Source organism: Homo sapiens, chromosome 16 (assembly GCF_000001405.40).
Source record: "Homo sapiens chromosome 16, GRCh38.p14 Primary Assembly".
NCBI classification, from domain to species: Eukaryota; Metazoa; Chordata; class Mammalia; order Primates; family Hominidae; genus Homo; species Homo sapiens.
In genome coordinates, this window is record NC_000016.10 from 66,416,703 (window position 1) to 66,434,155 (window position 17,453).

The 17,453-nt window shown below is 50.4% G+C and overlaps 1 protein-coding gene across 6 annotated transcripts in view, besides 1 other annotated feature; it reads left to right on the plus strand.

Annotated features, from left to right (window-relative positions):
* Positions 10,593-17,453, plus strand: part of BEAN1 (brain expressed associated with NEDD4 1) — a 67,994-nt gene continuing 61,133 nt past the window's right edge. For 3 of the 6 annotated variants that reach the window (NM_001197224.4, NM_001178020.3, NM_001136106.5), the window contains exon 1: positions 10,593-10,729. Coding sequence is in view for 1 of the 6 variants with exons in the window: in XM_011522894.2 (XP_011521196.1) it covers positions 11,709-11,796 (88 nt within the window). In the remaining 5 variants the exon portion in view is untranslated. The other 3 variants (XM_011522883.2, XM_011522894.2, XM_011522884.2) reach the window with 2 other exon arrangements.
* Positions 11,421-12,021: an enhancer, noted in NCBI's record as "H3K27ac-H3K4me1 hESC enhancer chr16:66462026-66462626 (GRCh37/hg19 assembly coordinates)". NCBI's record gives its function as "activates a minimal SCP1, AML or CMV promoter by ChIP-STARR-seq in naive H9 embryonic stem cells {active_cell/tissue: H9 hESC(naive)}" and the evidence as "EXISTENCE:reporter gene assay evidence [ECO:0000049][PMID:30033119]".

Sequence of the window (17,453 nt, forward strand, 5' to 3'; positions counted from 1 at the left end):
TTGCACTTGTCCCTAACCTCATGGGCCACATGACCCCATAAGCGCATGCAACAGGGCCGTAAGACTCAGCACACAGACCCCCTTCCCAAATCCACTTCCCATGTCCCCCAGCAGGCCAGCCAGAGATGTTTCAGAGCACATGACTCCAAGGAATTGTGCACACCAGGCCTAACTGGCTTGAAGCCTCCTCTAACCTGCAACCAAAGGAGATGACTTTGGGAGAGGGAGGAATGGAGAAAGGTAGGCAGTGAAGGAGGAGCAAGAAGGCGTCGACATCTATCCTGAGGTCAACATGCATGGCTAATTGCATAATCAACTGCAGATGGGAGCCAGAACTCTGACAGTGAGATGAACACCCAAGGTCAAGACACACTAATCACCTCCTCACCATGCATTCCTCTCTAACTGACTCTTCCTCTGGAGAATCCCAAGGGAAGAAAGGAGAACGAGAGGAGGAAAGAAAAAGAAGCACTCATTCCGAACCCATCCTACAGGAAGGCCTCCAGGAACTTCAATCACCCAGAAGCCAACCAGGAACTAGAAACAGAAAGCTTCTGCAGAACTGATCACGACTCATCAGAGGCCGTGAGAGCAAGGAAAGAATCAGGAACTGCCACAAATTGGAAGAGTCTGAGGAAACACAACAGCTATGAGCAATGTGGGATCCTGAATCAGATCCTGAAACAGAAAAAGAACACTAGAGAGAAACTGGTGAAATTTGCATAAGGTACAATAATAGCATTGTACCAGTGTTAATTTCCTGGTTTTGACCATTGTGCCGTGGTTCCGTAAGTTGTGAACATTAGGGGAAGCTGGGTGAAGGGTATGCATGAACTTTCTAAAATATTTTTGTAATTTTTCTGTGAGTCTAAAATTATCTTTAAAAGGGTGTTTTATTTTGTCTTTTAAAGGACTTCCAGGCGGCCAGCAACATCCTGGTAAGAATGAAGTCATTCCCACCAAACCTGGTTTTGCTGAATTGGCCATGAATGTGGCTTATTTATTTAGCAATCACGGATATTGTTTTCTCTAGAAAACTTCAGTTCTTCCGTGAAGCTTGGATATCTCAAACGGAAGGAGGAGGAGAGCTGGAAGTGACAGGAAGAGAGAAAGGATTAATGCAGGCAGGTTGGAGCCATTTAGCACAAGGGCAGACAGGCCTACACACCTGAAGGACCTCTGGAGGCAGCCTCCTGTTCCAGCACAATCACTGATATCTTTATGATCCAGCTCCATTTTTGCAGCAAATGTTCCTGGAGCCCTGAACCACACATCAAGCTAGGGACACAGTATTGAAGTCCACAGTCCTTTGGAGGGCAGGACTCAGTTTCTGCCCTCCAAAGGCTCACAAACAGGGAGGCAAGTATGCACAACACAAAAGAAAATCGTATGTGATTTCCATCATTTTGAAATGTGAGGTGTGCTATCGGACCTCAGATGAGGATGCTACTCATTTAACCTGCACGGAGTCAAGGTCAGAAAAGCCTCCAGAGAAGGGGGTATGGGCATTAGAGGTGCTAGAGCCCAGGAGTTGAGGTGGAGAGTGGCTAGAATAGAATCCAGAGACTGGGCAGGAACTAGATCAGAAAGGACCTTGACTATCTTGCTACAAGGCCACATGGACTTGATTCTGCAGCAATGGAAAGTCCCTAAAGGGTTCTAGCAAGGGTGTGGCTTGATTTAAGGAAGCTCGGAGGCTGCAGTGTGGAGAGGTGTCTTTTTTTCAAGAGTCTGAGTTGAGGAGAGGTTATAGTGAGGCCAGTCTGTGCCCTGCTTTTGGGGGCAGAATGTACATTGTGTGACAGTGAAAATGAACACAGCAATAATCCAAGCAGAGAGGCTGAGAAAACAACTTCTTCCCCACAGGACCTAATTCATGAGCCTCCACCACCCATCAGGCCGCCCTGCCTTTCCCCGTGTGCAAAAACTCAGCTGCTCCAGGCCAGGAGGGTTGCTTGTTCATGTGCTAGACCGCCTTAAGGTGACACGATTAATGTTCTCCTTGGAATGACTTCCCCACAGCATTTCAGGTCCATCATGGCCAGCTCAAAATGAATAGCAGAGAGACTCAGACAGCCTCCTGGTGCCTGCCTAAGAGAAGCAGATGCAAGGGGAACTGGAGCCCCCTCCGCACAGCCGTCACATTGCGTTCAGGGATTCCCTGTTCCTCTGAGTGTTGTGGATGTGTGCAGGTGACATGGAGACATTCTTGAGTTCCCAAGAGTCACCAGGAACTCTGGGAGAGAGCACCAGGACAGAAAGGAGAGGCACCAGCCGGGAAGGTGGCTCACGCCTGTAATCCCAGCACTTTGGGAGGCTGACGTGGGTGGATCACTTAAGGTCAGGAGTTTGAGAGCACCCTGGCCAACATAGTGAAATACTAAAAATACAAAAATTAGCCAGGTGTAGTGCTGTGCTCCTGTAATCCCAGCTATCCAGGAGGCTGAGGCAGGAGAATGGCTTGAATGCGGGAGGTGGAGTTGCAGTGAGCCCAGATCGCGCCACTGCACTCCAGGATTCCAGCATGGCCGACAGAGCAAGACTCTGTCTCAAAAACAGAGGGGAGGGAAGGGGAAGGAGGAATGGGGAGGAGGAGGGGAGGGGAGGGAAGGGGAGGGGGGTGTGGAGAGGAGGGGAGGGAAGGTGAGGGGAAGGGAAGGAGGGAGGGAGGAAGGAAGAAAGGGAGGGGAGGGAAGGTGAGGGAGGGAGGGAGGGAGGGAGGGAGGGAGGCAGGCATGGTTGAAAGTCCCCAGTTACACTGCACTGGCCACTTCAGCAGCAGGGACCGCAGGCTGGAGATGCTGTCAAGAAAACCCAGGTACCAGGAAATGCATGAGGGTGACCTCGTCTGCTGGAATGACATTCTGGAAGGACAAATGATTTGTTCCAGAACACACAGCAAGTAAGTGGCAGAAGGGGGATTTGAACTCAGGTCTTCAAATCCTCTAGACCCAGAGCCCAAGCCAGTCCAGAACATCTCCATGCTTTCTGGAACTTAAAGGAGGCAGAGGCCTCACATGACTCCCTGCGTTCCCTCCCTATCCCCCTGCTGGCCAATGCTTCACAAGAGTATTGGGTATCTACTAGGGGCCAGGCCAGTCACTACCCCTCCTGAACCATGGCCTTTTCCCCTTTGTCCTCTGAAATGAACTGTGGAAACGTCTCTCACACACACAGGTTTTCTACAAATGCTTTTTGCACCATTTTTGTTCATTTATACACCATCTTCTTCCAAAAATGCATACATAGTATAATGTTTTCTTTAACAAGTGAGTAAACAGAGGCAAAGGAAACATACATTCGTCTCCTTTTTTTTTTTTTTAATCAGGGAGTGATTCAAGCAATGGTTTAAAATAAACAAAAAGAATAAAAACTGTTTTTGGAAGAAATGAAACTATTTTTGTTACTAAGCCTGGAAAGAAAGTTCTCCCATAGGCTGAATAAATATTAGTTCCTTTCCCTTTGCCCCTTCTGCCTGGAACCCCAAATTCCTCCTCCATCTTCAAGCCGGAAGCCTAACTCTCTTGCCTCGGCTGGGCAAATGCATAAAGATAAGACACTCTTTTTAGAAAATTAAAGTATAACATACTTACATTAAAATGCACAGAAGTGTACTGTTCTGTCAATTTTCACAAATAAAATACACCTGTGTACCCAGCACCCAGCTCAAGAAACAGCATTACCAGCAAGTCCCCCACTTCTAGTCACTACCTTGCCCCAAAGGTAAATACTGCTTGGGCTCCAATACCATGGATCTGCTTTTCCTGCTTTGGAACTTTATATAAATGGAATCATACAGCATTTGGCTTCTTTAGCTCAACCCTGTAACTTATTCATATGTTTGCTTGTAGTTGTAATGTGTTCACTTTCATTGCTGTGGAATGTTCTCATCCTGTGACTGTACCACAATTTACTCTCCAGTAGATGTTCAGGTTCATTCATTCTTGGTCAGGAAAATAAAGATGATCACAGGTTGCACGTGGGTATTTTTATCTGCATTAACTCTTGTTAATAATTCATGTAAGTGCTTGAGTTCAGGAGATGCCAACATTATTTTTCTAAACTTTTAAATTAGACTCAAATGCAACATCCAAAAACTGTCAGTCTGGCAGCTGACATTATTCTGAACACTGAAATCTATTTTTGTAACCAAAGATGTCTTAGTCCTGTGGCCAGGGGAGCAACAAACAAATAGAAAAGGCATAAGAAATGTTTTTTCTTTGCTCTTGTACAAATAGACATTCAACATGTGTAGGCAACATTTATTGAGACGTTATTGTGTGTCAGGAACTGTACTAAACACTTTGCATGTATTGTTACATTCGATCCTGACAACAACCCTCTGAAATAGCTTTACTTGAATTACTCCCATTTTTCAAGCTCTGTCTGTGTCATCCCATCTTTCTCATCCTCAGGACTTACTGTAGGATCCAGTATAACCAGGCATTCAATAAATGCTTATTAAATAGAGCAATGAATGAATAACAGCAGCTACCATTTATTGAGCCCTTAGTATATACAAGGCACTGTGCCAAATGTTTACATCCGTTATCCTGTTTAATCTTACCAACAGACCTGTGAGGACATAGGGAACATCTTCAGGGTTTTTGCCAGGCTCATGAGTTCTACCTTCTCTGAGAATAATGAATGCACATGAAAACAAGCTGCCATATTTGTGCTACATGATCCCACCCTTTGGTCACAGTTGATTGGACCAGGGGTGCAGTTCCACCAATTAGATTCTTTCTTGGGAATTTGGACGTGTGGTTGAAAGATGGCCAGTTAGTCCTGCCTGTGGCTAGAATTGAGGAGCTGTAAACTCATTCTCAAGCTGCAGTGAGGGCTTTTTTTACAAAATAATGGAAAAAGAAGGTCTGCAGGGAGAAAAAAATTAAGTGATTAAGCAGAGAGGCACAGAGACAAGAGGCAGAGTCTTACCTAGGTTCCTGTCTGTTTCTCTGGTTCTCACTCCAAGGCCTCAGAGAGCCCAGACGTGAGTTCTAGTAAATTCTCCAGGTTTTGTTAAAATGGCCCAAGTTGGTTCCTACTAGTTACTACCAAAAAATAAAAATCTAAGCCAGGGACAGTGGCTCACACCTATAATCCCAGCAACTTGGGAGGCTGAGGCAGGAGGATTGCTTGAGACAAGGAGTTCAAGACCAGACAAGGAGTTCAAGACATCGCAAGACCCTGTCTCTAAAAAATAAATAAATCTAAACGAAGATAGGTCAATATTATTTTTCCCATTCCACAGATGAAAAAAATGGAGGCTCTGAAGAGGTAAAGTGACTTGCCCAAGGTCACACGTTCGGTGTGGCAGAGCAAAGACTTGAGCCCAAACTCACCCAACTCTCTGCAGCCTGAGCAGCCTCCCCTTCCCCACACCAGTGCTCCTTGGGACATCTGTCCAAGCCAACAGGACATCTGTCTTTCCCTGCCGCACCCCCACCCCAACCCCGCCGCTAGCTTTTTGAGGGCTGGGGTCATGTCTGACTCACTGTAGCAGCTCCCCCTAGGCTATACACCATCAGGTGTCACTTGCAAACCACCAGGGTGGAGATTTCATAGGGTTAGAAGAAACATCATGGCATGACTGATGGGAAATTAATGGGTTTTGGTGGCTGCAAATTGTAGAGGCAGAAAAGCGGAGCATGGAACTGAGACACTCTGTGGTGACCTTGACAGAGAATCCAGTGAGAAATTGATTAAAGTCTGTGGCAATGGACTTTAGATCCCAGATCAGAAGAGAGACAACCATAGACTAAAGCCCTTGCTGGGAGTACTGCATGTCACTGAAAATGGAGAGCCCCGGAAACTTCCTCATGCCCACAGTCTCAGCCCAGCTGTCCTGACTTCGGCCTTGGCAAAGGAAGTGGTTTTGGGTCCAGGCCAAATGTGGGGGCCTGGGCTGACCCAAGAGGCTGGACCCAGAGAATCCTAAGTCCTCACTCTGCAGAGTCTGGACCATTTGATCCCCCTTGCACCCACATACCCCAACTCATCCTCCATGCAGCAGAGAGATCTTTCTAAAATAACAACCTGACCAAGCCACCCCTCTTAAAGCCCTTATATGGTTCCCAAGGCCTTCACCCTATCATTCAAGGCCTTTACGACCTGCCTTTCCTGTCTTTCCTCATAACACACCATTCATTCACACTCAACTTTGCTCCCAATGTTCCGAGTTACCTGTGTCCCTGGAATCACCTTGGTCTCTTGACACCTATTCCATCATTGTACACATAAGCTATTCCCTCTCCTGGAACATCTCACTCACTGCATCCCATTCATCTGATGAAATCTTGATTGAACTTTAAGCTCAACTCAAGAAACACACCCTCAAAGAGGCCTTTTCTGACCTCCACAGATTGAGTTAAGTGTTTTTTCTTTGAGCACACATCTGGCACAGAAAATATATTGTTCTGGGATCATTTGTTTATAATCTGCTTCTTTTAACACATTGCCAGCTCCTAGAGGGCAGGGACCTTGTTTTCCACATCCTTTTTTTTTTCATCAGTTCATAGCAGAGTTCTTGGCCTGTAGTGAGCATCAGTAAGTATGCATGGGACATATGGGTGGATAGATGCAGATGGGGTAAGTGGATGGGTGATGGGAGTTTGAATGGATAGATGAGGAGTGGGTGAATGGGAGGAAGAATAAATGCATGTGTAGGAGGATGGGGAGGTGGTTAGATGAGAGGAAGGGAGGAAGGAAGGCAGGAAGGAAGGAAGGATTGAAAGATGGGAGGAGGCCTAGGTGGATAAGTGGGAGGACAGATGGGTGAATGGGTGGATAAACGGATAGATCATAGGAGGATGGAGAAAGGATAAGTGGACCCATAGGAGGATAGATGAGTGGATGGGTAGGTGGGTAGATGGATGGATCAATCAGTTCTGCCTAGGCTTAGGGTTCAGTCCTTAGATTGTCTTTGTGACCTGGACTCCTCTCAGAGTTCTGCTGCCTGCCGATGACTCCTGAAATTGAACATGTGTATAATCAAACTCATATTCTCCTTTCTCACATTTGATTCCCTTCTAGTGTTCTGTTCCTTGGTGACTGGCAACACCACCCACCTGCCTGCACCAGGTTGGCCTAACTTGTTTGGGGCAGGTTTAGGTAGAAATCTGGGTTCTGCTCCTAATTAGCTATGTGTCCTTGAGCAAGTTACTTGAGTGCCATAAACCTCACTGCTGCATGTGAAATATAAAGAAAATATTACCCACCTCCTCAGGATGTTGGGAGGATGGAATTAAATGCTGCATGTAGCATAACTAACACATTGTCAGGCCTCTCTAAGGAGATGTCAGGACTGGGCTGGGGGCAGGAGCAGAAAGTTCTATACCCAGTCCCTGCTCAGCGCTCAGCCACTTACCCTGAAATAAACTCTACCTTGAATACAGATCTTCAAGAAGCCCCAGAAATAAGTTTCCCCAGAAAGGCCGCTGGAGATAGGAGAGGAGAGGCTGTCTTTTATACTTCAGCTCCTGGAGACCTAGTCCAGGGTCCTAGAAGAGAGGTTTCCCTCCTAAAGGAAGACAGAAGGGGCAGCCTGGCTGTGTTAAGCCGTTCTTACATTGCTATAAAGGAATATATGAGACTGGGTAATTTGTAAGGGGGTAAAGCAAAGACATTTCAAAGAAGGAAGGATGGTAGGGAGGTACAAGCTGATCAGGCCCAAGAGACCCTTCCAACATCTCCATGCCATGGGCTCTGTTTGGGATGAATGACATCATGGATCCTGTTCTTTGCAAACAGAAAAGACGTTTTTTGGGATTCCCTGTGAGCGGCTGGGGTGACATGAAGCACACTCTAGGGCAAGCCCCAAAGCCCAGCACTTGGGGACTCTTTGGGCATCTCACTGTCCTGAGATCTCACTTCCTGATTTCCCTCAGACTCTTCCCTCCAGCATCCCTACCTATCCCTAGGCCAAGCAAACACTAAACACCACTGTGCCTCCCTGGTACCCAGTAGATGCCCCTTCTGCAAATCTGACCCTACACGAAGAAAGCCTCAAAACTATGACATACCTAGAGACATAAAGGATAGTCATGGGCATGCACAAGCCTCCCCATGAAGATGTCCGTTGCAGTGTTGTTTAGAAGTATGAAAAATGGAAACAAACTAAATGCTCAGAAATAGGGGACTGGTTAAAAAAATATGTGCAATACAACCATCTGATCCTATGCTAGGTAGCCACTAAAAGTGTGACATAGGAGAGGAGATATCAGTCAGCAAGCTCACTCCATTTAAGGACTCTTGTAGAGTTACACAGGTAAAAAGAAAGGAAAACAGGAAAGCTCAATATTCACAATGACTGGATTTTCTTTTCTTCTTTTTCCTTTTGTATTTTCCAAGTGCCCTACACTAATATATATTTGTGGATGGATACATAGACACACAGAGATTGGTAGGCACGCCGTCATAAGCCAGCTCCCTGAAACTACACCCAACACCACTGGAAAACAGTCCTGGTTCCAGTCTGAGGAGCAAGCCAGATTTGCCAGGCCAGTGATGCACAAATAGGGGAGTGGACGGGAATTAACTCTTTAGGGCTAGGACCTTCCGCAAGGACTCACTCAAAGTGTGCCACACACACTTATCCCTGGTCCCCCCACCCCCACCACAACACACACACACACAAACACACAGAGTCTTGCCAAAGGGGGCAGCTTACAGGCAAAACCACTCAACAACTAGAATATCCATCCTGGAAGGGTCAGCAGGTGTCCTCAGAGAGATCAAGGTTATACCGTGGGCACAGCCCTAGCTTGGGAGTTGTAGAGCCTCCAATCCTACCTCTTTGACCCTAGCCTATCCCCTCCTTTCTCTGATCCTTCATTTATTCATTCATAAAATAAATGCATGAGGTTGGACAAAGGGTCTCTCAGGTCCCCTTCCTCGGTTCTCTGAGAATTGTTTCCCTTTATTCTAGCCTCATCCCTTACTCAGAGCTGATGTCCCCGTGACAGCCCCAGCCTGCAGGAGGGCGGGGAGTGGGGGCGGGGGGGGGGCGGTAAATAGTGCAGGGAGCAGAGCCCAGAATGAACAGTTACCAGAGGAGGCTGGGAGATGTCCTCAAGCACCCAAGCCCTAGACCACGCAGCTTCCCCTGCCTGGCCCCAGGGAAGCCCAAGACGTGATGACTGGCAGGGCTGGGGTTTGTTTTCTCCACCGGAGCCTGCTCTGCCCCATCCTCCCTGCAAGGCCAGTCCCTGGCCAACTTTCCCTTCCACAACATCCCCATGGCTTCACTGCTTCCCCAAGGTTTAGCATCAACATGTTCAGCCCTTTGTCACCATGCTTTATTTTTGAGAACCACTTTCCCGCCAGTGACAAGCCTTTGGGTTTTGAAACGAACCCAGCTTTTGACTCCCCTTGCCTCCTAAGCCCCAGTTTCCTCATCAACAGTAGTGGTTCAGAGAGTGTTAGCAACAACACATTTCATCAATTCCTGCAGCAAATTCACTGAGTGCCCACTCTGTGCAGACCCCTGCAGCCCTACCCAGACGCTGCCCTCCTGGCGCTCCCAGGCAAGTGGCGGAGGTTAAATAAATAACTCCTCCACGCTGGCGAGCACCCCAACACAGTAGGGGTGCAATCATTGGGAGCAATATCCTAATGAGGACAGGGAGGCCTGAGAGATGGGCTGGGATTCGTCCAAGGCCCCAAAGCAGGGTGGGGACAGAGCAGGTCCTGGAAGCCTGGAACCCCGGCCTGAGCCAGGCATCCCCTCGGGGCCGGCTTCCACCTGCCAGGGCTGAGCCCTATGCCCTGACGTTTGGGCAGCGGGGAACGGGGGCACAGGGAGGGTGACGGGGTGAAGGAAACAGGCCTGCTGGTGGCTCCGAAGGAAGGTTTGGGCCAGGCCTAGCTGGAATCCCAAAACTCACCTGCCAGCAACCGCGAGCGGGAAGCCCTGCCAGGCTCGCCTGCCCCTGCCAGCGGCCCAGCCACGCTGGGTCCCCCTCTCCATCCCGCACTTTGCTCTTTGCCCGCGACAGGGGTCCCCTGCTCAAATGCCCAGCCTAGCCTCGGTCCAACCTGTCTGGCTGTCCTTCCCTGACACCTCGTTTGTCTACCCTTCTCTGCACGTGTCAGTGGCTCCCCGCTCGCGTCCGTGTGTCATTCCCTACACACGCCTGTGTGTCCTCTTCACACGTCTGACTGGAGCGTCGGCCTCCCGCATTTCCCGGCCTCCTCGCCGCCCTGCCCCGCCTGCTGCTGTGTGGGTGTCGGGCTGGCTGTGCGCAAAGGGGCGCGGCTCGGCCCTCCCCCGCACCCGCGCCCCCCGCCCCGCATCTCGGAGTGACCCGGGCCGCGGCGCCGCGGTGCTGAGGCCCGGGAGCCGCGCCGCCGCCGAGGGGGGCCGGGGCCGGTGACGGTGGCGTGGGCGGCGGCGCGGGGACGACGGGCGGCCGGGCGGGGCTGCGGCAGGGCAGGGCCAGGGCCAGGGCCGGGGCCTGGGAAGCCGCCGCCGCCGCTGCCTCGGCCCGGGATCGCGGGCGGCTGGTCGGCCCGGCTCGCCTGGCCCCGCCTGGCCCGCCCCGCCCCGCCCCTGCGCGCCCAGCAGGCCGAAGCGTAGCGGCGCGCCCCCCGCGACGCCCGAGCCCGAGCGCAGTGGCCTCCGAGCGGGAACCGGACTGGGAGCCGGAGCCGGGGCGGGAACCGGAGCTGGAGCCGAAGCTGGAGCCGGCACTGCGGCGCACGGAGCGGAGCGCTGCAGCCAAGCCGAGTAAGGGGCGTGGGGCTGGGCGGCGCGGGGGAGGGGCGGGCGGGGGGTCCCGGCCCCATTCCCCCGCGCTCTGCGGTGGTACCGGCGAACGACACACCCGGGGGCGCGCCGCGCGGAGCCTCGGTGCGCGGGGCGGGCGGATGCGCGGTCCGGAACGGAACCGCAGCGCGCTCGGAACGGAGCGGGATCCCGGGTCTCCCGCGGACCCTCGACCCCGGGCTGGCCACTGGGATCTGCGCGAGCCGAGGCTGACCCTGATCGCGCCCTCGGGCCTCGGGGAAGGGGAGGTATCCAGGTTTTCTGCCTGACTCGAGTCCCCGACGAGCATCAACCGCATTTGGGGAACCCAAGACAGCCTCCCCAGCAGCTTGCCCTCGGTTTCGGGGACCCCTGAACAACCCAACCAAGAAGGGAAAACTAGGGCGCACTCTCGGTCGGGGTGGGAGAGGAAAGGGGCTGGGGCTTCACGGAGTTTGGAGTTTGAACCCACCCGCACCCCTTTGAGCTAGGAAGTTTGACCCTTCGACGAGCAGGTCGCCTGGGGTATGCCCCTGTCTCCGTGCCTCTGTCTCAGCACCGAGCGTCGGAGAGAGAGCGCGCCCTCCGCACCTTCTCCCACTTTGGGACAGACTTTCCCTTGCGCTGTCAGAGGGACCCGAGGCTGAGTACGAGGCGAGGCGGCAGGCAGCTCAGGCTGGCTGCGCAGCGCTGAGTGGCACCGCCGCCGCTCCCCAGGGGCAGGGCCCACCCCACACCCGGCTGACTCTCGCTGCCCTTCCTCCTTCCCTATCGGGCTCTGCGGTCTGGAGGCTGGAGAGCGGTGAGGACCAGGGACTGCCCTGTCCATCTCGGGCGGGTGCCGGCGTGGGTGGCGGGGCGCAGGCTGGGAAAGGGAGGGCGCAAGTAACTGGTGTGAGAGGCAGGGGTTCAGGGATCCTTGCTCTTGAGCCACGATTTCCGATGAGCCCCTGCCGAGAGCATGCCGCTCTGGACTCACTCCTCAAACATAACTGCTCTGCTGGAACGAGAGACTTCACCACCCTGTGCCTCAGTTTCCTCATCTGAAAGTAAGCAGGAGTCTGTTGTGAGCGGGATGTTTAAGGGATTTGGAACCAGAAGGTGGGCTTGGCTGACTTCCTGGCTGTACAACCTTAAGCAAGACACAAACCTCTCTGAGCCTTAGTTTCCCCATCTGGAACATGGGGAAGGTGAGTTGGGAGGATTAAATGAGATGATGCTGGTGAGGGTATGTAGCCTGGTGCCTGGCACGCAGCCAGTGGCCAATTGTGGTGGGCTACAGGTGTCCTGAGGTGTCCAGCACCAGTAGATGCTGAGATTCAGTGCCTCTGAATCTGAAGTGGTGCTCCCAGCCCCCTCCAAGGAGGCCTTTGAATTCCCCAAGCTGTTGACATTTAATTGCAAAGCAAAACTTTCTCCTTAGGGCCCACCCTTTCTCAGACGCTCCCTCCTCCAAGGCTCTCTACCGCCCAGCCCAGTTCTCCCCTGCTACCTCCCATCTCTCTCCAGGGTGAAAAGGCTGCATCTGACTGTAAGGTGCACCCTTTTCCTCCTTGCCCTTAGCTGATGTCCGCTGCCCCAGAGAGGGGCACCCACCCATTGCTCGAGCTCCGTACAAGGGAATTTAACACCTCCCTCCACTCCCGGGTGGAGGATTGCTTTCCCTGAGGAGCCATCAGGCTGTCAGGTGGCTTGGACACACCGATGGTGACGGTTCAGACAGGCAGCAAGAAGCACCAGGGAGACAGCCTAGAGGTCTGAGGGGTCCCAGCCTTGATTCTTCGCAGACTATGATGTATTCGTCCAGGCAACTGGGCCATGAGGCACCAGAAATGAAGGATGTCGGGGAGGAAATGGAGCCAGTGATTGAGAGGTTCAAACTTCAGAGCAGGGTGTCCCCAGGAAGGGATTTGCTCCAGTCTGTGTGGCTGGGACCTTAGACCCAGAGCAGAGCAGGGCATAGGCCCAGGGGATAGGGGAGGATGCTGGGATCCTGGAGGTGGCAAGGAGCGGGTGGGCGGGCAGGAGTGATGGGAAGAAAGCAGTGGTCCAGTTCACACCCATGTTGGTCCCTGGCCACCTGTGCTGTGTGGGTGTTCTGGCCCAGCTGCCCAGAACAGGGATGGGGGAGGAATCTCAGATGAGGAAACATGTCCACATGGTGCCAGGGTACACCTGGTAAGACAGGCAAGATGAGCTGCCACCTGGGGCCTCCTACACGGAATCTCCCTCTCTCCTCTTCTTCCTCTGTAGCTTCCCCCTCCCCTTCCCCATTCACCCACTAGGGGTCACGTCGCTGTGTCTTCCAAAATCCTCACTCCTCATCTTCCCAAAGGAGTTAATCAGGAACTAATTAGGCTTGAGTCTCCTGCTTCGCTCAGGATTTGGAACACAGCCAGTGGGGAATGTGACGGGGATGCAGGCATTACTGTCAGGCTTTAGGAATAATCAGCCGGACACCCTCAGAGGACCATTGTCTGAAACTCTTGCCCTGGAAGTACTCAGAGGATAGGGTGAGGGGCATCTGCTGTCAGCCTCCTAAAGGGAGAAACTGAGGCCAGGAGGGCTTCTGCAGTCCATTAGCAAGCAGGCACAAACAAGAGTCACGGCTGAGAGCAGTTTTTTGGAGCTGGACCGCCTGGGTTTATAGCATGTGGTTCTGGGAAGGTGACTTATTTTTCAAAGCCTCAGTTCCCTCTTGAAAATGGGAATAAATGTTACACACCTCCCAGAATAGTGTGAGGATGAAGAAATCATATACAGATAGCACATAGCCATGTCCAGTGGACCTCTGCCAGTGGCCTGCAGTGTCAACATTGTGAACATGCATTGCACACACGCTGTTTCCTAAACGTATGCATTTTCTCTTTGAATTCTGATAACCAGCTCTCTGATTTAGGAACTATACTTGTTCCCATTTTATTGATGAGAACACTGAGGCTTGAAACGTTTAAGGACTATCTAATTCTGCCAGGTATAGAATAGTTAAAACATCACTATGACTCATCCTAATTGTATGAGTTTGTAAAACTGATAATTACCACATTGTAATTTAGATGATATGTAATCAGTTATTAGAATGATTCTTTCATGTACATCTTCAATCATTTTATGTCTGAGAACTGAAAAAGAATATGTTAATTGTCCACAGGCTATAGAATTTTTAGACACCTTCGTATTTTGTTTTCCTGTTTGAACAGTAATCAAACTGATTTAAAAGAGCAGTTCCCTGTTCATTACCTATCCTTCTTCTCTCCATTTTTCTCTAGAGCACTTATTACCTCCAACATCTATATATCTTATTCATTTGTCTATTGTATGCCCACGTCAATATAATGTGAGCACTGCAAGAACAAGGACTTTTGACTGTTTTGTTCACTATATCCTCAGAGCCTAGACTAGTACCCAGCACTTATTGTGCCTTCCAAAATTATAAAGTGTTTTACAAACATATGGTCTATTATTGTTATTATTTTTGCCAAGTGTATAGGTTGATTGAAAATAAAACATTAAGTTAATAGCAGAAACCATTCCCTCAAATATTTGGCAAATAGGACTTGCTCAAGTGCCAAGGATAATTTGATAAAGGTTAAAAACAATGGATATTATTTTTCTAGTATTATAATAAAGCTTATCAGTGAGTTCAATGACAAGTAAATTAAAAAAATTTTTTTCAATAACAAATGACATGTTCAAAGGCAATTAGATTAGCCTTAAAATTTTTCCTTGAGAACACCCCGGCATGGTGGCACATGCCTGTAGTCAGCTGCTCCAGAGGCTGAGGCAGGATCTCTTGAGCCCAGGAGTTCAAGACCAGCCTAGGCAACCCTGGCTCTTGACAACAAACAAACAAAAACCCCACAACTTCTAATGAATTAACGATCACTGACTTATTCACTTAATTGCTTTTCATTTTGTTAGCACAAAATGTTTTTTTGAGTCTTCATTTTAATGATTTTTCGGATTGTTATTAAAGTCATACATGTTCATTGTAAGAAATACAATTGTAAAATCATTAAAAATGTAAAACGCATAAAAATCCTCCTTAATCCCACCATCGCCCAGAGAGCACAATGACTGTGAACACATTCGTGTTCTTTCTGTCTGTGTTCTGTCCTTTCTAATCTTTTGCTATGTATTAATATATTCCCTAGTTTTTTTTTTTCTTTTACAAAATAAGGATCACGGTATATGGTATATGCACAATTCTACAAACTATTGTGTGTGTGTGTTTTAAAAAATAACAGGGTTTTCCCCCCCTTAACATTATACTGAAAGTCTTTTTTACTTTTTTTTTTCTTTTTTTCCCCAGAAAGTCATCTTTAGACTGGACTGAAAGTCTTTATGTTATTAATTTTTTTTGTTGTTTGTTTGTTTGAGACAGAGCTTCACTCTGTCCCAGGCTGGAGTGCAGTGACACGATCTCGGCTCACTGGAACCTCCGCCTCCTGGGTTTAAGCGATTCTCCTGCCTCAGTCTCCCGAGTAGCTGGGATCACAGGCTCGCACCACCATGCCCAGCTAATTTTTGTATGTTTTGTAGAGACGAGGTTTCATTGTTATCGCACCACTGCACTCCAGCCTGGGTGACAGACTGAAACTTTTTCTGAAAAAACAAACAAACAAAGAAGGCCTCCTCAGTTTGAAGGCTGCCAAACACCTGGATCCCTTTTCTAGTATCAAGACCAAGTTACCTGTTTGCAAACCTCAGTGCCTTCTGCCCACCTCTGCCCACCTCAGTGCTTTCTGCCACTGGCTTCTCATTACTTTTCTCCCCCACTCCTAAATTCATAGATTCCTTTATTCAATCATATGACAAACATGAGGGTATCCACGCTGGCCAAGGTATGTTCTCTATTAGGGAAGTTACTAGCTGGGTTTCACCTCACATGAAGACCTTCCTGGGACAGGAGAAAGGTGTTGCCTGCTGCCTGAGGACCCCCAACTGCAGCTTCACAAGTGAGCCCCTGCCTTGGTGAGGCAGATGCAGTCTTTTCAAGATCAGTGCAACTGACCGAAGTCCCTGGGATTTCTGACTTCCTTCTGGCTCTAGACAATCACATGCACACCCGCAGATCCATGAAACCCCTGTGACATGGCATCATGCCTTCACTCAGCAGTCACGGGGCACTTCCTATGTGCCAGGCACCATGCTGAGTGCCAGGGACACAGTGATTGTCTGAGCTATCAAGACCTGGAGTCACCATCTCTCCCATCTCCACCATCTGCCGGTCACCCAGGCAGACAGGGAATCACCTTACACTCCTCCTTCTTCCTCACCCTCTCTATCAGATCCATCTGTCCCTAAAACCCACCAAGGGTGTTCCCGCCCAGGGTCTTTTGCCCTCTCTGCTACCTGTACCCAGAATCCTCTCTCCCCAGGTATCTGCCCACCTAGCTTGCTTCCTCCAGTCTCTGCTTACCTGCACCCTCTCACCAAGGCTTTCTGCAGCCGCTGTATCTAACCATCTAACAGTGCAATTCCCACCTGCACACACTGCTTCTGTTTTTCCTGTACTGTTAGCTTGCAGACTTCACCATTACCATTGCATCTCCAGTCCTAGTCAGAAAGGGACTGTCAAAGTGTGGCTCACCAGTCTGTCCCCAGCACCTAAAACCTGCTGCATCAGGGACTTTATTTTATTTATTTATTTATTTTTATTATTTTTATTATTTTTGAGATGGAGTCTCCCTCTGTTGCCCAGGCTGGAGTGCAGTAGTGCAATCTTGGCTCACTGCAACCCCCACCTCCCGGGTTCAAGTGATTCTCCTGCCTCAGCTTCCTGAGTAGCTGGGACTACAGGCGCACACCACCACACTCAGCTAATTTTTTTGTATTTTTAGTAGAGATAGGATTTCACCATGTTGGCCAGGCTGGTCTCCTAACTCCTAACTCCAAGTAATCCGCCCTCTTTGGCCTCTCAAAGTGCTGGGATTACAGGCGTGAGCCACTGCACTCAGCCGAGACTTTCAATAAACACTTGAACCAGTGATGGCAGCCTCTGCCCCTCCTCTGCAGTCACCGTTGCCTTTGTTTAGGCCCCATCACCTCTGGCCACGGCCTCCCAAGCTCCCTGCCTCCTGTTTCCCTCACCTGGCGCCCCCTCCACCTTCCTAAAGAGAGAATAGCTGAGCAATCCTGCTTCAAATCCTCCTAGGAACCCTCTTGGGGCAGGGGCTCACCACCTCATCGGGCCCCTTATTCTTCTGAGTCACAGTGTTGTCATCTGTGAATTGGGGATTTGTTTTGAGGATCCAGTAAGCTGACAGCATGTGGCAGCAACTGAGCAGAGGCTGTGTAAACAGGTGGCCATCCTGTGGCCTCTTTCACAAGGCCAGCCCACCCCCACAGCCTATCTCTGTCTGCCGCCCATGGTGTGAGGCTGGCCGCTCCTGGGGCCTTCCAGCTCTGTAAGCCTCTGCCATGAGGATCCCCAGACACTGGCGCGTCAGCAGACCCAGGCTCTCTCCCCTTAGCCACATGCTCCCCTGCCCAACTCTGAGTGTCACAGCAGAGCCCAGAGTGGAGATATTCCCGGAGCGGGGACATGAAGGGGAGTGGGAATGACGTGGACTTGCCACACACCATTCAGCCACTTCAAAGCCTGGAGTGCCACCAGCCCGCCCTCGAGTTCCCAGCCAGACAATCCAGTAGGAGATGAGTCACTGGCAGGAGCGAGCCTCGCATGCTGGGCTCAAAGAGAGGC